Raw genomic sequence first — 23,810 nt, forward strand, 5'->3', positions numbered from 1 at the left:
GTCCCTCTGAACCCAGATGGCTGTGACTTCCGAGTTCTTGGGCCTGCCTTATTTTTTTTTTTTGTCTTTTTTCTCCTTCTCAGGAAAGCAATTTCAGCTCTCGTTGTACAGCTTCTCACCTTGTACTTGGCTCTGCCACCACAACCATCTCTTTTATTCCTGCCCAGATCTAGTTTGCTGTAGGCTAGATAAACCTTGCAAACACACTTGTTAGAGATTTGCCTACAATAAAAATTAGAAAGTTTAATCAGAAAAATTAGAAAGCTGGGGGCAGTGGCTCACACCTGTAATCCCAGTACTTTGGGAGGCCAAGGTAGGTGGATTACAAGGTCAGGAGTTTGAGACCAGCCTGGCCAAGATGGTGAAACCCTGTCTCTACTAAAAATAAAAAAAATTAGCTGGGCACGGTGGTGGGTGCCTATAATCCCAGCTACTCAGGAGGCTGAGACAGGACAATCACTTGAACCGGGAGGCAGAGGTTGCAGTGAGCCAAGATCACGCCACTGCACTCTAGCCTGGGTGACAGAGCAAGACACTGTCTCAAAAAAACACAAAAGTTTAGAGTAAGAGTTAAGGGGTTGTTCAGAGGCTTTTTTTAATCTTAGCTACAATCTATACAATTAAGGTTGGCTGAGTAGGGGGCTTTTTTTTTTTTTTAGACAGAGTTTTGCTCGTTTCCCAGGCTGGAGAGCAATGGCGCGATCTCGGCTCATCGCAACCTCTGCCTCCTGGTTCAAGCGATTCTCCTGCCTCAGCCTCCCGAGTAGCTGGGATTACAGGCATGCGCCACCATGCCCGGTTAATTTTGTATTTTTAGTAGAGACGGGGTTTCTTCATGTTGGTGAGTATGTGGCTGGTCTCGAACTCCTGACCTCAGGTGATCCACCTGCCTCGGCTTCCCAAAGTGCAGGGATTATAGGCGTGAACCACTGCGCCCGGCCAAGTAGGGGGCTTTAGATGAATGAGGTTGTCAGGAATTACTATTTGATATGCTAGTTATGCCATAATCCCAGTTTCAAAGATAAAGAGAAATAAGGTACTTTATTATTAGTAAAAAATCTATAACAGATTTTCCAGCATCTTAAAAAAGCAGAAAGCAAGCCAGGTGTGGTGGCTCACACCTGTAATCCCAGCATTTTGGGAGGCCAAGGCAGGAGGATTGCTTGAGCCCAGGAGTTCAAGACCAGCCTAGGCAATGTGGCAAAGCCCCGTCTCTGCAAAAATTAGCTGGGTGTGATGGTACCCGCCGGTAGACCCAACTACTCAGGAGGCTGAGATGGGAGGATCGCTTGAGCCCAGGGGGTCAAGGCTGCAGTGAGCCATGATCATGCCACTGCACTCCAGCCTGAATGACAGAGCAAGAACTTGTCAAAAAAAAAAAAAAAAAAAAAGCAGAAACCTATTTACAAATGAAATCTATGAAATCTTTTTTTTTTTTAAATCTATGAAATCTTGCTCAGAAACCAAATAATTAAAGCAGTTTAAAGCAAAACTACTCTGAGTGACCTAAGCGGGAGAGTCCTACCCTCTCAGCCTCTCACCAACACCAAAGGAAGGCTCTAAGCACCTAGGCAGAAGCCAGGAGCCAAGAACAGTTTCATAGAGCACCAGACTCTAATACTATATGAAAAGTGACCCAACTTGGAAGATGTAAACTACCTTATCAAAACAAAAACCCTGATAGCTAGAGCAGCAGACTCCATGTGGTAAGGAAGTAGATAGTAAACAATCTACATGGTAAGAGAGTACATGCTTCTCTGTGGCTTAAGAATATTTTATTAAAAATATTTTATTTTTATAGCTCTAAGAGGAGGCCCTAGGGCTAATCTAGTTCTTATCAAATCTATTTGAAGAGGGCCAGGTGTGATGGCTTATGCCTGTAATCTCAGCACTTTGGGAGGCCAAGGCAGGCAGATCACCTGAGGGTCAGGAGTTCAAGACCAGCCTGGCCAACATGGCAAAACCCCATCTCTACTAAAAATACAAAAAATTAGCCAGATGTGGTGGCGGTTGCCTGTAATCCCAGCTACTTGGGAGGCTGAGGCATGAGAATCGCTTGAACCTGGGAGGCAGAGGTTGCAGTGAGCCGAGATTGCACCACTGCATTCCAGCCTGGGTGATAGAGCGAGCCTCTGTCTCCAAAAGAAAAAAAATCTATTTGAAGAGAAGGAGCTAGAGGCATATTCCTGCAGTCTGGTTAAAGGGCTTTACAGAGGACATTTGGGTTCCAGCCCGCTAGCCTGCCTTTTCTCATTCCAATACCTCACACTCTCAGCACTGGGGGAGCAGTCTAAGGAACTTTCCAGGGCCTCTTACCTGGTTATCTGGGTGGTTGACAGTGAAGTAGCCCACACAGACGATGACCTCATGAAGGAGGCTTTCACAGGAGACTTGGCTGCAGTGGCCCAGCAGGGAGCTGGCCATGTGCCGGAATGCAAGGGACAAGCCCTCTGCCCCTACAATAGACTGACAAAGACAAGGAGCAGTTAGAAGCCCTCAGCCCAGGGAGAGCCAGGGCTGCAAATCACAAAGCAAGACTGGCCCTGTGTACTTTCTGCCATGGTGGTGGAAAAACATGACATTTCTACAGTACTATGCTTAATGCTTTAGTTTAGGGGTTCTTGTTCTAATAAATGTCCCATAATAAATGCAATGTTTAACCTGAAAAGGGACAGTAGTAGACCAAATGCCTGTACCACGTGGATCAAGACATTATCTACCTAAAGCACAGTTATTTATTCTATTTTTAATAACTTAATTTTTCTCATATACAAATATTCTTACTGGAGAAAATCTGGAAAAGTATAAAGAACCTAAAATTCACCTGTAAATCTACCATTTAGCTAAATTCCAACACTTTTTTTTCTGAAGGAGAAAATATTTTCTTGTACACAGAGTTAAACATATATTTCTAATTATGTTTAAACAAAAAATGTAAATAACAACTAGTTATTATTCAAATAAGTAGCTCTATAAACCGAAGGCTCCCAAAAGAATGTAAAAAAACAAAACAAAAAATTCTCCCTAAAACCATGAAATCCCTCAGCTATGGGACTTCTGGGATCCTTTCTCCAGACAGGCAAAGGGCTGTCGGCGGTGGGCGACTCAAGAAGAGAGTCTGAGTCTGTCTGTGCAGCCTGCAGCTTCTATTTAATAAACATGTCAAACAGACAGAGCGACAGGAGGGCAAAGGGGAGAGGCGAAGCCCACAGAATATACTCGCAGCCCACACTGGAATGAAGCACCACTGCTGGCCTGTGGGAAAAGGCAGAGTTTTAAACTCATCTCTTGATTTGAGGTCTTAGTGGGCTTGAACCAGGTTGGATACGTTGCACCTTGGAAGTTTCAATGAATTCACTTCACTTAACAGTGGGTGAAACAGAGCCATTTTAGCGAGCATTCCTGAAACAAAATTACTGCTAAATTTTAAGAGTGCCTTTTGTCTGTTTCACAGCCCCAAAACAAAAAAATGTTTTTCAAGCCCCAAAGAGACTTCAGAAGGACTTTGCTCCTTTAAATCAAGCAGTGACACCTTCTCAGCTCAGCCTTTATTTAATTAGTCACGTCCAGCATGCTGTGACCCAGTGCCCTCTGTTTAACCTTCACTGATAAGAGCAGGTCAAGGGGCATGTAAGTTTGAATATAAAAATTAAACCAATTTTCAAGGAAACTATATTTCCTTTTTAGCCAGAATTAATTGCCAAGTCAGTACATTGATTTGTTTCCTGAGACCACCTTCAATTGTAAAAACTGTCAAACTGAATGCAATATACAATATCCCCAGTCTCAAGGCCACCCATGCCAATATGAATTCAGAGTGAAATCAGACTCTTTGCTGAAGAGGGAAAAATATTTTGACAGCCTTATTGGTATACAATGAAATGGAACCAGCTAGGAAAATAATCTAATGGATAACCTTTTGTACTATTACATGATGGGTTCTCACACAAAATAAGCATACAGGTTTGTGGCTTTGAAGAAGGGTGAAGGAGCACTGGGAATGCTGCATTCAGTTTCCAACCTTCTGACTCAGCATGTCTGTTTAGGTAAATTCTTCTTTTCAGAAACTCAGTCAGTTCACATTTTCTGAGGGCCTACTATGTGCTAGTGAGCACAGCACTTTTATGCAATCATATTTAATCCTCAAATAGTCTTGTGAGGTAGGTGTTCTTAATCTCTATTTTACAGATGAGGAAATGGAGTCTTAAGTGTTCAAATGACTTGTCTAAGGTCATACAATTTGAAGAGGTAATGTGATGGCTCAAAGTCAGGTCATTCTGACTCCAGATTCAGGGGTCTAATGAGGATGCCTCCCTGTAACAGCTCTGTATTCTTGTGATGCATTCGAACCCAAATCATCAACATGTCTTATATCATCTTGTCTAACTCTGCAGCAGGTCAGACAATTTATCTCAGTTTTTTTCTTCAATTCCTTTGAGCCTCCCAGGCAATTCATAAATTGTCTCTCAGATTTTTCTGAGGTCAGATCATGCTGAGATGTACACCTTCCTTCTTTCCACTTAAAATCTCTTTTCCTGTCCTTTACATACATAGATCCTAAAATCTCACTTTTGACATGTAAGTTGTTTTGATGAACTAGAATATGAGTTTCTCTGACCATAACTATCACAAAAATAGTAGTTTTCTGGAAAACTCATCCGTTGCTATACAGTACAAATACTATGTATTTAATTTACTTAAGCATTATATTCTTGATCACGTCCATCTACATAAATGGTGTCTATGTAGACAGATGTGTTGCTTTAGCTGGTGAAGCCTATGTTTCCCTTCCCTTGAATATGGAAGGCTTATGACTGATTCAACCAATAAAGTATGGTTGATAGGTAAGTATATGACTTCTGAGGCTAAGTCATAAAAAGTCCTGTAGCTTTTGTTGGTTTCTCTTGGAACTCTTGCTTTCTGGAAGCTTCCTCTTAGGACACTCCCACTCAGAATCGAGACACCATAGTGTTTTAAAAAGCCCAAGTCACATGGAGAAGCAGTAGTAGATGCTCTGGCCACCAGTCCTAGGTGAATCTTGTCTTTGAGTCATCCCAGGCATCAAACATGACAGTAAAGAGCCTCCAGATGACTTTAGCTCCTAGCTGTAGCCATGACATCATGGAGCAGAGACAAACCATTTCCACTGTGATAAGCCCCATCTGAATTCTGAACTCCTAGAATCTGTGATCAGAAATAATTGTTTCCCCCACTAAGCTCATCTGTTTGTTTTTAAATGCATAAAAGTAATTAAGAAAAAATACGTAGTCATTGGTATATTAAAGGCCCCGATGCTAGAAATTCTGGGCATTTAGGTCCCCTCACATGCTGATGAAGAGTCAGAAAGAAACATGAAGGGTAAAGGGTACCTGGAAACTACAGCTAGGAAGAGAATGAGAAAGAGTAAAGGCAAGACTGATAAGAGAGGAGAGACAGGAGAGAGACACAAAAGAAGAAAAAACAGGAAGGAAAGAACTGAGAAGGAAATATAGAGTTGCATGAGAAGAAGGAAGAAAAGGTACTGGAGAATTGTGAGAACCAGTCAAGAAAGGACATTCCAAATGAGAGCCAGGGCATTTGATTTTGAGAATAATTGTTTTTTATTTATTTTTTATTTATTTTGTTATTTCATTTCTTTTTATCCCTAGAGACCCTGATTTTGAGAATAGCTGAACCCTCTTGAACCACTCTGGTTTTATTCCTGCTGTTTTCGGCAAAAGTGGCTCAAGTAGGGGATAAGTTTCAAGATGGATATAGCAAGGATCTGGAAAGGAGAAATGTTTTTATCTTAGTTGGGCACAAAGGATTCCAGAAATAGGCTTTTGATTTTTCTTTTTGATTTTTTTCTTTTCCTTTTTTTTTTCTTTTTCCTTTTTTAATGAAATCACTTGACATTATCGCCCATTATTAAGCCCTTTAGGCTTAAAGGCACTAGGGAGCAGGTCTGGTGAAGTTCAGTGGTGCGCCTTTGTGAGTGAGCCTGCACAGGCCACAAGTTCACAGGAGGAGAGGGGCAGGGAGCAGGGACCTAGGGCTCCCTGATGGAGTGACTGACCGAACAGCTGACTTATCCTAGATGCTTGTTTATGATATGGAGTCCCCTGTAGCAGTATAAATGTTGGCCAAGAAGACCCGTGAAACAGGAAGCTAAGAGACAGTTTTTAGATATTTGCTATTCCATAATCTGTTAACAAAAGAAATCACTCCCTTTCGACGCAGCTGATGGGTAGACTGGTGGACTCCATATCCTGAGCATGTAAAGTTAAGGTTCCCTGATTTCCAAACTGTTTCCAGACAGAATACGGTGGGCTTACGTCTTCATAAAACACAGATGTTATGTTCAACCCTGAGGCAAGAACTACTGACATTTTTTGGAGCAGATATCTCTCATTTATATGTGGCTGTAACCTCCCAGAACTCTACGTATTGTGCAGTCAGTTACCTCCTAAGGCTAGTTCAACTGCTCTGGAGACAGAAAAGCATTAACCCAAAGGAAGGGATTTCTGTTCTTGTGACAGATAAACTAATTCTACAAAGTTGAAAGATACTAGATCCAATGATACAACTTAGTCACAAGTTTCCTTTTTTGAACAAAATGACAGGAAGACATCAATTAAAGAATGGCACATTTGTCATCAGCTACAATATAGAAGTATTCTTCTCATCTCAGAATGGCAAAGTCCACTATTTTCATACATTTGTTTCTCTATAACCTTTTTCCCTCAGAGCAAAGCAATTCATCTAAATTATGGGTTCATCATCTGCCAAATTTGTTCCTTTTTTAATGAAATCACTTGACAGTTAATAAACTGAAAGAGAAAGTCTATTCCTTGGGGCTTGCTCTGTTCCAAAGGTTCAGTGTTTTTGAAAATTAAATTTCCTACATGAAAAAAAAAATCTGTTTCCAGGCTGACAGTCTGGTGTTATAGCATAAAGCAATTCTTCTTTCTTTAGCTATAAAAACTTCATAGCTAAAGATGCAAATCCCTGTAAAGCTAGTTATACACTTTACATTGGACACAAAATCAGCTAAACCATCCGTAGAAAGTCATATCAATCAATTTATCTAATTTTGGTTCTATTTACGTAAGAAACCATTACTTTCCTTAATATTTAAAAGTTGATGAGATGATAATGTCCTGATATAAAGAATTCCAGACAAAAGATTTATAAATAGCAGCATGGCAAAGGATGAACATAGGCTTTGGGGTGGGAGAGTCATGGTTACTAGTCCTGGTTCACAAACATGTAACCTTGGGCACATTACTTAACTGTCAGCTTCTCTATCTGTAAAATGGGTATAATAATACTTTGCATGGTAGCTATGAGAATAAATGAGAATGCTAGATGTTATAGAGCATCTAATACAGTTCCCAGAAAATAGTAGTTTAATAAATTATAATATATATTATAATTCCATTTATTGTAGTTTATTCCTTATGCCCCAATTCAGGAGAAGAATCTGACATCCTATCTACACTAAAATACTAACTCTTGATTGGTTAACATCGATATAAACCAATACTTGGTACCTGAAAAGCAGGCAGATGAAGAGCTGCAAAGCTGTTGAAGAAACGTAAACTCTGAATGGCCACTTGGATGGTATTTTGAGTGTAATTCTCCTTGGGACTGGCAGTGCTGGGGTCCAAGATGGTGCCATGGAAGAGGACACAGTAGAGCATATGAAGAACTCCAGCCAGGTCGGTTGCCTGAAGAGCAGCTGTCAGCCCTGTGGGATCCTGGCGATTATTGTCAAATATGCTGTATGACCTGACAAAGAAACATTCAGTTCTTTGAGAAAAACTACTTAATGGATGTTAGCAATTTGTATAGGTTAAATGAAACAAGACAAGCAGACCGTTAAAAACAAACCATCTGAGTTGTATAGTATGGTAACAAGAAACTTCAAGGAATAAATGCAGCCCTCCCCACCAACTGCACTGTGGCTTTTTCTTCTCCTGGAAGACCAGGCTGCTGCAGCAGTGTCAACTGAGCACTCTGCAGCCAGTGCTGAGGCTGCCAACCACCCTTCCCACACTTTATAGCCTACATAACCTCACTTTGTTTAGTATCCTGGGTCTGGGCAAAGTTGACAGAGTCTGTGAAAGCTTTTGGGACTCAGAGGCCAAAAACACTCCTAGCTTCCTTTCTGGATATATAAAGGCACTCTTCTTAGGGAAGGCAGCTATTAGGGAAAGCATGAGGCCTCAAAAACCCAGTAATGTGTTGGTATACTGTGGTAGGGAGATTCTTCAGCTGCTATTGAAGCCCCTTTTCCAACATTGAGGAGTACAGGCAGGACAGGTTGTAGAAGCCACAGTCCCAAGAATAAGCAAGTACTGGATTAGGTCTACACAAATCAGATGAAGTCAGCTTAGCTACCATGGCAGGTAATGTTACAGAAGAGCAAGAAGAGACAATGGCAGTGGCAAATGAATTCCTAAAATCAATAGTAAAGCAGCAGGGGTATGCTAAATCTACCTCATCCTTGAACTAAGGTATTTTTTATTTTTTTCTTTTATTTTTTTTTTTTAATTTTTCCCTTCTTTTCACAGGTGTTAAAAAAAAAAAGTAGAACCACTCAATGTGAGGCTTGAACCCACTGACTCTGGGATTAAGAGTCCCATGCTCTACCAACTGAGGTAGCCAGGCAATTCTGAATTAAGGTATATGTGAAGCATCTAGAGGCCAAGAGCAGGCAGTTATAGTAAACATGGCTGCCAAGCATTCACCCTTTTAAACAGAAACTGTACAAAGATTTCTAAGGAATCACCTCTCCTTAACTCATAGCCAATATGCTTCACATAGACCTCCCTCCCCATTTACTTTGGCTCAAGGGTGCCCAGGCCTAAGGTAAGCCACACATTTCTCTGGCTGTTGAGCATCACTCAGGGATGCCACACGTCACAATCAGAGCTAATGGGGTAGAGGGAGATACTTTTGCTGAGACGCTTGGGAAGAAGTCATCACTTTTTCCTCTAGATGTAAGGTCTGGAGTTGCTATAGCCACTTGTAATCACTGCACAAAACCTCAGGTATCTTATTGCTCTTTCTTCATGACACTCTGATTTTTCTCAGGAAGGCAAGTTATAAGTTTCTACTCAATGTTTTCCTTTAATTTGGCATGATCTACACAATACTGAGCAGGAGTGCTTTTATGTTTCTGTCATGGCATAATACCTTTCCCTACTTTTTAACACTACGAGTTAGTGTTAAAAATCTGGGTTAGTGTGTGTATAGGTGTGTGTGTGTGTGTAAATACACACACACACACCTACACACACATATATATACATATATACACATATATATAGGTTGTCATTTGTCATTCTTTCAGCTGGAACCCAGGATGGGAGACAGTCCTTGAAGAACTATGCTTACTTCATTATCTTTCCTAGAAGCACTCAAGAGGTGTCACTAATTAAACAAGAATTGAGAGGTGCTGACTGGCAAATTTCTAGTATCTTGTCTAGTTTTCTCAATTCATAACTTAGTTTTTCCAAAGAAATCATTTTATTCATTTTACTTTGCTAGCTGCATCAAAGCAGTTTTATTCATAACCACGGTACACATTCATTTCTTGAATGTGCACTATTTCTAGTATTTCTAAGAATACAGCCAAATGATATGACATCTTCATATACCTTGTTCTCTACTCAAGAAAGAAGCTCTCTTATGAAATACTGTCATCTTATTTATATGGCAGGATCTGCCAAGTACATTCATATCTTTCACCTTATCTCATTCTTACTGGGTTTTCATAGTTGGTAGAGAAGTTATTCATCCTGTCATTGTGCACATGAAGCAAGTGAGACCTAGAGAAATAAGGTGAAGTGTTTTAGGTCATACAAATTTTTAGTGGCAAAAGCAGGGATATCACCCAGGGCTTTTGACTGTTTAGGGTCAGTGCTTTGTCCATGGACCAAAATATCCAGGTCAAACGGAGGCTGACCTCCTCTTTTCTCTCAATGTCTTCTTCTAAGTCAAATTTTGTGATTAAGTAAATACTGTTAAGATATACAGAGACTATAATGCAATCTTGTATTGTCGAGGGGAGATATTTTTGTCTCATAGTACTCAATAAAAACAAAAGTTTAAGAAATGATATTTATTTGCTTATAGGTATATCTGAACCTTTACACAAACTTCTGTTAGCTAATGTCAGCTGGCCCTTACTTCCTTCCATTAAAGCCAAAAGAGTTAGGGGTCAGACCCTGACTAGAGACGTGAGTAGAGATTAATGTGTCTGAGTTTATTATATAGGTTCCAAAAAGGGGCCTGTGTTTGTTTAACACTGATTGCCTTTTAGAACCAGTGACAAGTCAGAAGATATTTCTCCCTAAAGCTAATTTCTAATAGGTTTTCAGAACCTTGAGGATGAGTGACATCACTGCTGGTGACAACAGTTTTACTGCTCTGTGATTCAGAATGGTGACTTTCCCTTTACTCTTGTGTTGCTTTTAAACTGATTATCAGCATATTCTAATACAGATATTCAGGAATATAGCTTTTTCACTTAAAACATCTTATAATACTTAGTCTTTCTAGCATTTATTAAGTGACAAGAATTCACTGCTATTTCCTCTTCCGAAGAATATGTGTAAAAAATCTTTTTTTTAAAAAAAGTGAAGGTTATCAGAACATCTCCTCTCCTGCACCATTATTTAGGAAAACACTCATCTGATGGATTATAAAACAATACAGCCCAGTCTTTTGCAAATATTATCCTAATGAAATGAAAACGGTAATTGAGGAAAATCTGCTAAATAAGCATTTAAGAACTTAGATGTGGAAATGGTTCAAAATGCATAAGATAGTGCTTCATGGAAAAGACCATTCATGTTGAAGAGAGCCCACAGAATATATGGGGGCAAGGGGAGGGTTTGACTGTCCCATTTGGCTTCCACAGGACTAATGTAGACATGAAGGGACCATAGAGAATGTTTACTTTTGATTTAGCTTGAAGTACAGATAATTTGTCCATGAACAGGCCACTGGCTTCTGTTGGTCTTAACTGTCAGTTATAATCACTTTAAGCCTAAATGTTTATAAGAAAAAAGTAAAAGGCCTTATTCATATCAGGCATGTGTAATGAAGTTTTCTTCAAAAAATACATAGAAGATGTGAAAAATAAGATCTGAAATTTTGTATAGTACATTCTGAGATATTTGTAATTTTACCAGATTTTAAGGTGTTTTTGTTAGGTCTCCAGGACTAGAGATCTTAGTGAGATATTCATTTCTGTTTATCAAAAGCTAGATTCAATTAGGAAAAACTAAAATTGGTTTTTCATCAATACTGCACAATGCCTGACAAACCTACTTTACCTTAAAGGAGAGTACAGCTGGGCAAAAACAGCATGATTTGTGTGGGCATGAAGTGCCATCCATTCCATCTTCATAAACCACTTATACACTGGGCCTTAGTTGGCCTAAAAAAGCAGCTGTGACAGTTCCAGACTCTATAATCCCTTTTCTTCTGTTTGTTTGCCCTGATTTCCATGGTCCCCAGATTTCCAGCTTGGTAACATCCACTCTGATCTTCAGTGCAGGTGATCTTCTAGATTGTTCTCTTAGCTTCTTGGAGTTTGGCTTCATTTTGGAATCCCTGAGGGATCTTGTGAGAACATCCCATTTTAGCCCTTAAACCCACAGACCTGCACTCAAAGATCTGCATAGTGTTGGAGTGGGTGAGACTAAGTCATTGTCTCCCCCAATGATGGATGAGAATTTTACTGTTCAAGGAGAGGTAAATTATTTCTCAGCAGTATCCCAGTTTTTGGATATTATGTCCTGGGATATTCTGAGAAAGCCAAACTGTATCCAGTGACAACATCATTCATCAGGGTTTAAGGTGAGCACAAACAGGCATGATGTTCTGTCAGGTATTCTGTCTAAAAAGCCAAAGTACCTGTGCTCTGGGAACTCTGAGCACCTGTGATGTGCAAGGTTAAGGAAGACCAAGCCCCTGTTCTAGAGGCATTACAGTCTAATAGGGGCTGGTGGGTGTATCAGTTTCCTATTGCTGCTGGAATAATTACCACAGGCTAGTGGCTCAAACAATAAAACATTTAATATTTTACAGTTCTGAAAGCCAGAAATTCAAAACAGATCTCACTAGGCTAAAATCAAGGTGTCACAAGAGCTGTGTTCCTTTTGGAGGATCCAGGGAAGAATCTGTTTCCTTGGCTTTTCCACCTTCTAGAATATGCCTGAATTCCTTGGCTTATGGCCCCTTATTGCAGCTTCAAAGCCAGCAACAGAGCATCTTCAAATCTCTTTCTAACGCTGACTTTCTTGCCTCCCGTCTTTATTTATAAGGACCCTTGTAATTACATTGTGATTACCCTGAATTATCCAGAATAATCTCACCATCTCAAGATCCTTAACTTAATTGTATCTGCAAGATCCCTTAAGCCAAGCAAGGTAATATTCACAGGTTCTGGAGATTCAAATATAGATACTATTGTAGGAACTTTATTATGCCTACTCCAGAGAACCTAGTCATTCATGATTCATTCATTCAACAAATATTCACTGATGGCCAACTATGTGGCAAGCCCTATTCTAGGACCTGGAGTTCAGCAGTAAAATCTATGACCTTTTTCTCATAAAGCTTACATTTTAGTGCAGGAAGATATAAACGAACAAATATATAATATGTAACGTATGGTGTGACAGAGGAGCAAGGGACATGGCTAGGAAATGAAGAAGTAGGAATGTGTGTGAAGCTACTTTACATAGGGTGGTTGGGGAAGCCATTTCTAAGGCATTATTTAAGCAAAATTCTACAGAAAGTGAGGAAGAAAGCCATGTGGACACCTGGGGGAAGGGTGTTTCAGGTAAAAGAGCAGAAGATCCCAAGGCTTGGAGCCAGGAGCGTGCATGACAAGTTCAACAAACAGCAAGAAGGCCAGTGTGGCTAGAGCGGGTTGAGTAAGTGGAAGAGTAATAGGACATGAGGTCAGGGAGGGAGCAGAGAAGATCAGGTAGAGTCTTGGAAACCATTATAAAACTTTTACTGAGTGACATGGGAAGCCATTGTAAGGTTTTGAGCACAGAAGTGATATACTCTGACTTCATTTGAACAATGAGCACTACAGCTACTGGGTTGAAAACTCTTTAGAACAGCCAAGGCAGAAGCAGGAAGACCAACTAGGAGGCTGCTTTAATCATCCAAGTGAGAAATAATGGTATATGAATCAGGATGGTAGCCATGGATGTGGGAAGTGATTGGATTCTGAAAATATTCAGACGGGCAAGCCAACAGATTTCCTGATAAATTGGATGTGGGTGTGAGAAAGAGGAGTGAAAAATGGCTCAATGCTCTTTGCTTGAGTAACTGGAAGACTGTGGTTGCCATTTACAGAAATGGGGAAGAAAGTGAAGAGCGCATGTCTCAGGAGGAAAACCAGGAATTCAGTTTTGAACTGGTTAAATGTGAGATGCCTATTATACATCACAGTGGAGACAGTGGATTGGAAGTTGTGTGAAATAAGCTTCCCAAGCATAGGGATTTTTGTCTCTTTTGTTTCACAGGTATATCTCCAGGGCTTAGAACAGTGTCTCATATACAGTAGCTATTCAATACATATGTGTTGAATGGCTGAATAAATACACAAGCCCAAATTCAGAGGAGGAGTCTCGGCTTGAGATATTTGGAAGCCATCAACACAGAGATGGTATTTAAAACTAGAAACTTATTCTAGTGAGTCTAGAGTCTGAGGATTGATCCTTGGGATACCCCAAAGTTTAGAACCAGGAGAGATGAAAAGAAACCAGCAAAGGAAACTAAAAAATAGTCACCAGTAGGGTAAGAAGGAAACCAGGAGAGTATGGTGCCCTAGAAGCAAAGCAAAGATAGCTTCAAGGAGGAGAAAGTAATCAATAACAAAGTTTACCTACAAATAAACATGAGGACTAAAAACAGGAGAAAATATACACAAATGACTTAAGTCTTATTTTTAGATCATAAAAACTAATTCCACACGCTTAAGATGGGAAGAGGGTAAGTAACAGGGAATGGAATACAGTTTGTCAACAATAAGTGGGAAAAAAGACTTAGCAAATTAGGTGCCTACCAGTTCAAATGAGAAAACAGCACTGCTTGATCACCAAAGAATATAAGTCAATTTTGACTAACAGGAGTACAATGTACACAACAAGGAAGGTTTAGTTCTGCTCCAGTGCACTGTATGACTATTCTGGAAGTACTGTGTCCAGCACTGGGTGCAGCGCTAATTCAGCACACAGAGGTATCAAAGTTCCCAAGTAAAGTGATCCCTGTGGTAAAAGTGTCTGGAAATAATGTCACCCAAGGAATATTTGAAGGAATTGGGAAGTTTAGCTCAGAACTGAAGGACACAAAGGCTGTCTTCAAACTGAAGAAGTATTTATTTATGACCCCACGGGAGACACGTTACTAGAAAGCATATATGAAATAAATCTATGGAAAATTTTCTAGGGCTAGGTGTGGTGGTACACGCCTATAGTCCCAGCTGCTTAGGAGGCTGAGGCAGGAGCATCACTGGAGCCTAGGAGTTCAAGGCTGCAGTGAGCTATCATCGCCTCACTGCACTCCAGCCTGGGTAACACAGTGAGATCCTATCTCTGAAAAAAAAAATTCTAATAATGAGAACATCTAAAAGTGAAGTGGGCCGTTTGGTGTGGTATGACTTCTTCTTCATCCTGGAAGAGGTGGAAGGTCACATCCACTGTAGTAGCAGAGGGCATTTAAGACTCAGCTGGGCATGAGCCTGGATGATGTCTAAGATTCTGTTCAATTCTGGGATGTTACAACAGATGTAAATCTACTTTGAAAATTACAGTCAGTCGGCTGGGCGTGGTGGCTCACGTCTGTAATCCCAACACTTTGGGAGGCTGAGGTGGGCGGATCATGAGGTCAGGAGATTGAGACCATCCTGGCCAACATGGTGAAACCCTGTCTCTACTAAAAACACAAAAAAATTAGCTGGGTGTGGTGGCACACGCCTGTAATCCCAGCTACTCGGGAGGCTGAGGCAGGAGAATGGCTTGAACCCAGGAGGTGGAGGTTGCAGTGAGCTGAGATCACGACACTGCACTCTAGCCTGGCGACAGAGTGAGACTCCATCTCAAAAAAAAAAAATTACAGTCAGTCTCTGTCACAGACACACACACATACAGCACACCCTCCCTCTCTGACCTTTTATGTTATTTATATAGTAAGATGTGGACAATAGCTTGTTTAATGCAAATCTAATTTGGAGCTCTGTTGAAGAAAATGGGGATGACTTAATGGAGAGCTGAGGGTAAAAGAAAAGTCAAGGTGGAACGTATGTATGTGTAAGCAATCTAAGACAGTCAGGACATTTGGTTAGAGAACAGTAAAAATAGGCCAGGCATAGTGGCTCATGCCTGTAATCCCAGAACTTTGGGAGGCTGAGGTGGGCGGATCACCTGAGGTCAGGAGTTCAACACCAGCCTGGCCAACATGGTGAAACCCTGTCTCTACTAAAAATACGAAAATTAGCCAGGCATGGTGGCATGTGCCTGTAATCCCAGCTACTAGGGAGGCTGAGGCAGGAGAATGTTTTGAACCCGGGAGGTGGAGGTTGCAGTGAGCCGAGTTTGCATTACTGCACTGTAGCCTGGGAAACAAAGCAAGACTCCGTCTCAAAAAAAAAAAAAAAAAAAAAAAAAAAAAAAGGCCGGGCGCGGTGGCTCACACCTGTAATCCCAGCACTTTGGGAGGCCGAGGCGGGCAGATCACGAGGTCAGGTGATCGAGACCATCCTGGCTAACACGGTGAAACCCCATCTTTACTAAAAAAGAAATACAAAAAATTAGCTGGGCGTGGTGGCGGGCGCCTGTAGTCCCAGCTACATGGGGGGCTAAGGCAGGAGAATGGCGTGAACCCAGGCGGTGGAGGCTGCAGGAGTGGAGATGCGCCACTGCACTCTAGCCTGGCCGACAGAGTAAGACTCCGTCTCAAAAAAAAAAAAAAAAAGAAGAAAAAGAACAGTAAAAATAAAGGGAAAATTAAAAAGTGAGAACATTAGGTAGGACAGGCTCAGATACCTGGGAGAATTTCCAGTTACCTGATGATGAGTTTCAGGTGAACTCAAAGAGGAACCTTTTTTTTTTCTTTTGAGGCAGGGTCTTGCTCTGTTGCCCAGGCTGCAGTGTGGTGGCACAATTGTAGCTCACTGTAACCTTGAACTCGTAGGCTCAAGCAATCCTCCCATGTCAGCCTCCCAAGTAGCTGGGACTACAGGCATATGCTACTACACCTGGTTAAGTTTTTAATTTTTTGTAAGATGAGGTCTTGCTATGTTGCCCAGGGTGGTCTCAAACTCCTAGCCTCAAGTGATCCTCCTACCTCACCTCTCAAAGTATTGGGATTGCAGCCGTGAGCCACTGTGCCTGGCTAAAGAGGAACTCTTGAGAAGGGAACCTTCCTGAAAGGAGAAGTAACAGATGATGAAAACGGAATGGACAGTCTTGCTGTTTGGGATCAACAACCTGGAAGAGGCTGAAGAAAGAGCAAGACCAGAGGACACCAATAAGAATGGAAGGTAAAGGACAAGGCCACTAAGAAGAAGAAACTCTGGACCCTGGCAAAGGTCTGAATGGAGACACAACAAAGTGGAAGAGTAAAGAGGTGACAGGCTCAGGACAATCTTAGGAAAACGAAGGGTGAATGGATGAAGGGGCAGTGAGGAGCCTATGAGGTGAGAAGGCAGGCAGCTCTGGGTGACTGACAACAAGATATGCTCCTAGATCTTGGAACTGCAGGCTGGGGCTGTTGTCCAGTACTGCCTCTCAGATGGGACACTTTTGACCTCTCTAGCTTCAGTTTTCTCATACTGTAAACAGCAAAGGACCCTGTGCTGACACACTGGTTTGGCTAGTTGATACTTTGGGGCTCTCTTTACAGTTTGGAAGTTGGGCTGAAGGAGCTCTGCCAGAGGCTATGTTGTGTTGCCAAGTAAAGGTAATTGCTTCTGCTGGGAGGGTAACTGGGAGGAAAAAACTGTCATATCAGGTGCTGCATTAAGATTCCAGTACCCTCCTAAATGATCTTTCTGGCTTCCACTCTTGCTTCTCTAATCCATTTTTCACAGAGTAAACAGATGCTTTTTTACTTTTTAAGCCACTCTCCTGTTTAAAATCCTCCAGTGGCTTCCACTCACACTTAAGAGCAGAATTCAGATTTCTCACCTTTCTGTCCTCATCTCCTGGCCTTTACTTATTGACTTCAACTTCTACCACTTTCTTTCTGGCTCTTCACATTCCAATATATCACTTTCTCTGTTTCTGGAACATCCACTTCAAGGTCTTGCCATTCTTCTCAACTAGAATACCCTTTGCTTGGGTCTTTACATGCCTGGTTCCGTCTTAGCTTGTCATCTCCCCAGAGAGGCCGTTCCTGACCACTTCGTCTGCAGAAGCCCTTGACCAAGACATTCGGCTATATTACCAGGCTTTATTTTCTCATGTCACTAGCTAAAATAATCTTATTTGTATATTGGTTGATTGTTTTTTCCCCATTAGACTGTAAATTTCATCAGAGTGGTATCTTGTTCATCAATCGATCCCCAGTACCTTGACAAGGTCTGGGACATAGCACATACTCAGTAAATAGGTATGAGTAAATATTTGCCAAAGAAATAGAAGGAAGAAAGGGAGAACTGATCTTAGCAAGGCATGCCAAAGGAATGAAGGCCTTGGATGCCTATTTCCTAACTCAGAGAAAGAAGAACATGAGATGTGGGCAGTCCTTCTTCTTATGTATAGAATAGGCCCAGGAAATGGGATTCCGACATAGGCCAATGATCGTTCACTAGTATTTGCTAGCTCTACCAATGAACAGCTGTTTCTCAAGTTCTTATTTTGTTTTGTTTCAGGTGCTATGTGCCTGACGGGAAGCTGCTAGGATATTTAGCTTCTTTCTCTAGGTAAATACTTTTAACTCTAGACACAAACCATGTATACAAGGAAAGAGAAATAATGAACTGCACGTTGACAAATACCAAGTAAGTGGCATAAATGGTATGTTCCATCTCATATTTCAGAGGAAAACATCCCTTTGATGGAATCAAATAGGACTGGATTGGATTCTGGGAAAGAAAAGTCAAAGATGACTAAGGCTTTGGGTCTTAAAATCTACTCAGATTGCTGGAATCATGAGCAGAATAAGGCAGTCAGGAGGGACAGCCAACTTTGGGTGAAAGCCAATGAGCTCAGGATCTAACATATTAAATATAAGTTCCTGGTAGAAATTGCCAGTAGGAATTCCAGGAGGAAATGTCTATCATGGCCTTGTTATGAATATGGTTTGGGCCTTAACCTTACTTGCTGTGGCTTGATTTACCTTTCCTGCCTATCTCCTTTTAATTTTTAATTAAAAAAATAACATATATATACTTCTATAAGCTATCTCAAGTTTTTGGAACAAAATGTGTTATAATGAATACAAGAATATGTAAAAAATAGCATCTTAGACAAGAAGTAAGAGTGACAGATGTTAGCCCCCATTTACTCCTGTCATGTCCAACCCTGTGAGGGAAGAAGTAACACATTCATTTTCATATGTGAACAACAGGCTTTGAAAACCTAAAGAACCAGGGCTAGGCATGGTGGCTCACGCCTGCAATCCCAACACTCTGGGAGGCTGATGCAGGAAGATCACTTGAGCCCAGGAGTTCGACACCAGCCTGGGCAACATAGGGAGAGCTCGTCTACACACACACACACACAAAGCAAAATCAGAGAATTAGTGGAACGCAGCAGTGCATCCCTGTAGTCTCAGCTACTTGGGAAGCTGAGGTTGGAGGATAGATTGAGCCTGGAGGATTGAGGCTGCAGTAAGCCGTGATCACTCTTCTGCACGCTGCCACAGGTCACAGAACTGAGAAAGCTGAAACTGAGCCCACATCTTTCTGACTTCCTAACCTTTGCTCTTCAACATAATATTACACACAGTTTTCCTCTTGAGATCCTGCCTTCTCAGTCTCCTAGAGCCAGTGAGAATCTGGCTGCAAATGTATCCTGGACACATTCTGCTCCTCTAAACCCTGCATGTTGAGGCCATCATCCCTTGTCCCCTGTGAGAATGGTAAGTCAGTGGAGACTGTCCTAAACTTTGGCCCTACGAGCTGGGGCCCAGCCAGTTCCCTTTCTGCCTAGCACATAGTGAGCACTCATGTGAACTGTACCAATGAAGTTGTCATCTTTCCATTCCTTCAAGTAACTAGGGCTTTATGTCAGCTGGGATGGATCTTTCGGAAGTCCCTCTATTAGCACTTTGCCATTGTGAGTACAGAGACACCCCAGAAGTTCCTGCTTCTGTATTCTTCCCATTCTCTAGATCTGAAGGATAAGGACAGTCACTCCTCCTTATTAGTCTAGTGGCTGTTTTAACTCCTTTGACAGCGTGAGCAGGACTCTTGAATGCTTGTAGGGAGATAGCCCACATGAAATACTCAGCTCAGGGTGTATCAAAGGTGCTTAACAAATGTTACTTCTTTTAGTTCCACTTGCCTAGTCCTGTTACATTCACTTCATTGCCTATCTCCCAATACCAACAAACCCTTTGTCCAAAGACAGTAGCTAATGACAACAAAATATTTAGGAATGGGCTGACAGTATCAAATAAGAGACTGCAGAGAGAATAGAAGGCAGCTGAGAACAGGAGACTGGGAACTCATTTATCTTTAGGGTAGGGTGGAAAGTAGCAGGCTATATTTTTCAAGTATAACCACAGCAACATTTCTGGTCCCCTATGCTCTTCTAGAACCTTCATCCTCCCCAGGAAGAGGCAAAGTCTATTTCTCCTTTTTTTGAAGCTGGATGGAACTTCATGACTGCCTTGGTGAATAGAATGTAGTGCAAGTGATGCTGTGTGATTTCTGAGGCTGAGTCATAAAAGGTGATATGGTTTCTAGCTGCTCTCTCACTGCCAGGATGCTTGTTCTTGGAACACAGCCACCATGCTGTGAGGAAGCCAATTAAGCCTATGCAGAGACCCCACATGGAAAGACCCCTGGCTGACAGCCAGCATCTACCACAGATGTGTGAATAAGCACTCAGATGATTCCAACCACCAGCCTTCAAGTCTTCTGAGGCCCCAGACATTGTGGAACAAAGATAACCCATCCTCTCCGTACCTTAAAAGAATTCCTGACCCACAGAATCTGTGAGATTAATAGATGGTTGTTTTATGCCACTAAATTTTAGGGTAATTTGTTGCAGTTATTGTAACCGTAACAAGAAGAAAAGCAAAGGAAAATATGAGGTACCGTGAGACCAGGGGAGTTCAGGAAGAAGAGTAGGTTCATATTAGTCTGCATGTTGCCAAGGAGCAAGTAGGCCTTATACTAATAGGTAGCACTAGGGAGACAGATTTCAGCTTGGTATAAGGAGAGATGGTTTAAGCAACAACAACTCAAGCTCCCCTTAGTTAAGTAACGAATTTCCTGTCACTGGAGGTGTTCAACAGAGACAGAGAGGCTTACTGAAAAGATTCAAACCTGACTGGAAGACCAGATAGGGGACTTTAAGTTTCCTTTCAATCAACAGAATGTGGCAGTAGATTAGATCTGGGGTATCAGGAGGAGAGATTAGAGATGATGAGGTTTGGAGCTTGATGCCTGAGAGACTGGTGATACCATACACAAAAAGAGTGTCTATGGGAGGGTTTTTCAAAACATTCTTCTTTCCATTCCTTTCGTCTCTTACCTGGACAACTGTTAATGCCCCTTGCACTTTCCACCTTCTAATACATTCTTCACACGACACTTGACCAGTGCTCCCAAATATGGTTCTTAGCAGGTCACTTCCTTGCTCAAAGGCTTTAAAAATTCATTTTATGTTTTTAAAATTTTTGTGGGTACACAGTAGGTATACATATTTATGGGATACCTGAGATATTTTGATACGAGCATGCAATGAGTAATAATCACATCACGGAAAATGGGGTTATCTGTCTCCTCAAGCATTTATCCTTTGTGTTACAAACTATCCAATTATATTCTTTTAGTTATTTTAAAATGTACAATTAAATTATTACTGACTATAGTCACCCTGTTGTGATATCAAATATTTAGTCTTATTCATTCTAACGCTTTTATTTTTTTGTACCCATTAACCATCCCCAGCTCTCTCCCACCCACCCACTACCCTTCCCAGCCTGTGGCACCCATCCTTCTACTCTCCATCTCCATGAGTTTGTTTTGATTTTTAGATCCCACAAATAAGTGAGAACATGTGATGTTTATCTCTCTGTGCCTAGTTTATTTTACTTAACACAATGACCTCGAATTTCATCCATGTTGTTGCAAATGAGAGGATCTCATTCTTTTTTATGGCTGAATAGGACTCCATTGTGTGTATGAGTACATTTTCTATATCCATTCATCTCCTGATGGACACTTAGGCTGCTTTCAAATCTTGGCTATTGGGAACAGTGCTGCAACAAACATGGGAGTGTGGATATCTCTTTGATATACTGATTTCCTTTCTTTTGGGTATATACCCAGCAGTGGGATTGCTGGATTGTATGGTAGCTCTATTTTTAGTTTTTGTAGGAATTTCCAAACTGTTCTCCATAGTGGTTGTATTAATTTGCATTCCCACCAACAGCGTATGAGGGTTCCCTTTTCTCCACATCCTTGCCAGCATTTGTTATTGAATGTCTTTTAGATAAAAGACATTTTAACTGGGATGAGATGATATCTCTTTGTAGTTTTGATTTGCATTTCTCTGATGATCAATGATGTTGAGCACCTTTTCATATGCCTGTTTGCCATTTGTATGTCTTCTTTTGAGAAATGTCTCTTCAGATCTTTCGCCCATTTAAAAATTGGATTATTAGAGTTTTTCCTATAGAGTTGTTTGAATTCTTATATATTCTAGTTGTTAATCCCTTGTCAGATGGGTACTTTGCAAATATTTTCTCTCTTCTGTGGATTGTCTCTTCACTTGATTGATTGTTTCCTTTGCTGTGCAGGAGCTTAACTTGATGTGATCCCATTTATCCATTTTTGCTTCGGTTGCCTGTGCTTGCAGGGTACTATTCAAGAAATTTTTGCCCAGTACAATGTCCTTAAGAGTTTCCCCAATGTTTTCTTGTAGTAGTTTCATAGTTTTGAGGTCTTAAAGTCTTTAATCCATTTCGATTTCTGTATATGGTGAGAGACAGGGGTCTAGTTTCATTCTTCTGCATATGGATATCCAGTTTTCCCAGCATCATTTATTGAAGAGACTCTTCCCTAATTTATGCTCTTGGCACCTTTGTCAAAAATGAGTTCACTGTAGATGAATTTGTTTCTGGGTTCTCTATTCTGCTCCATTGGTCCATGTGTCTGTTTTTATGCCAGTACCATGCTGTTTTGATTATTACAGCTTTGTATTATAAAGTCAAGTAATGTGATTCTTCCAGTTTTGTTCTTTTCCCTTAGGATAGCTTTGGCTATTCTGGGTCTTTTGTGATTCTATATACATTTTAGGATTGTTTTTTCTACTTCTGTGAAGAATGTCATCAATGTTTTGATAAGGATTGCATGGACTCTGACGATTGCTTAGGGTAGTATGGACATTTTTAACAATATTGCTGCTTCCAATCCATGAACATGAAACAGTTTTCTATTTATTATGTCTTCTTTAATTTCTTTCATCAATGTTTTATAGTTTTCATTGTAGAAATCTTTCACTTCTTTGGTTAATTTCTACATATTTAACTTTATTTGTGGCTCTTGTAAATGGGATTACTTTTTTTGATTTCAAGATTGTTTGTTGTTGGCATATAGAAATGCTACTGATTTCTGGACATTGATTTTGTATCCTGCAACTTTACTGAATTGGTTTATCGGTTCTAATAGCTTTTTGATGGAGTCTTTAGGTTTTTCCAAATATGAGATCATATCATCTGTAAAAAAGGATAATTTGACTTCTTCCTTTCTGATTCAGATGCCTTTTCTTTCTTCTGTCTGATTGCTCTAGCTAGGATTTCTAGTATGATGTTGAGTAACAGTGGTGAAAGTGGTCATCCTTGTTGTGTTCCAGATCTTAGAGGAAAGGCTTTCCATTTTTCCTCATTCAGTATGATACTAGCTGTGGGTCTGTCATACATGGCTTTTATTCTGTTGAGGTATGTTTCTTCTCAACCCAATTTTTTGAGAGTTTTTTTTTTTTTTTTTTTTAAATCATGAAGTGATGTTGAATTTCATCAAATGCTTTTTCAGCATGTCCTGAAATGATCATTTAGTTTTTGTCCTTCATTCTGTTGATAATGATGTATCACACTGACTAATTTGCATATGATGAACCATCCTGACATTCCTGGGATAAATCCCACTTGATCATAATGAATGATCTTTTTTGCTGAATTTGGTTTGCTAGTATTTTGTTGAGGATTTCTGCATTAATATTCATCAGGGATACTGGTCTTTAGTTTTCTTTTTTCCATGTTTCTCTGATTTTGACATCAGAGTAATAAATACTGGCCTTGTAGAAAGAGTTTGGAAGCATTCCCTCCTCCTCTATTTTTTGGAATAGTTTGAGTAGGATTAGTATTAGTTGTTCTTTAAATGTTTGGTAGAATTCATCAGTGAAGCCCTCTGGTCCTGGGCTTTTCTTTATTGGCAGACTTTTTTTTTTTTTTTTTTTTTTTGAGACGGAGTTTCACTCTTGTTGCCCAGGCTGGAGTGCAGTGGCGTGATCTTGGCTCACCGCAACCTCCACCTCCCAGGTTCAAGCAATTCTCCTGCCTCAGCCTCCCCAGTAGCTGGGATTATAGGCATGCACCACCACGCCCAGATAATTTTGTAT

At 40.7% G+C, this 23,810-nt stretch overlaps 1 protein-coding gene and 1 pseudogene across 19 annotated transcripts in view; both read right to left on the reverse strand.

The window, feature by feature from the left end:
* The window catches only part of SCAPER (S-phase cyclin A associated protein in the ER), a 557,437-nt gene that overhangs the window by 25,942 nt on the left and 507,685 nt on the right, over nucleotides 1–23,810 (reverse strand). For all 19 annotated transcript variants that reach the window (NR_148227.2, XM_017022273.2, XM_011521653.4 and 16 more), the window contains 2 exons: nucleotides 7,533–7,770; nucleotides 2,317–2,466 (listed from right to left, as the gene is read on the reverse strand). Coding sequence is in view for 18 of the 19 variants with exons in the window: in XM_017022273.2 (XP_016877762.1) it covers nucleotides 2,317–2,466; nucleotides 7,533–7,770 (388 nt within the window). In the remaining variant the exon portion in view is untranslated. The remainder of the gene's footprint in view (nucleotides 1–2,316; nucleotides 2,467–7,532; nucleotides 7,771–23,810) is intronic.
* On the reverse strand, nucleotides 8,579–8,652 carry TRK-CTT16-1 (tRNA-Lys (anticodon CTT) 16-1; annotated as a pseudogene).

Source organism: Homo sapiens, chromosome 15 (genome assembly GCF_000001405.40).
Source record: "Homo sapiens chromosome 15, GRCh38.p14 Primary Assembly".
Lineage (NCBI taxonomy): Eukaryota > Metazoa > Chordata > Mammalia > Primates > Hominidae > Homo > Homo sapiens.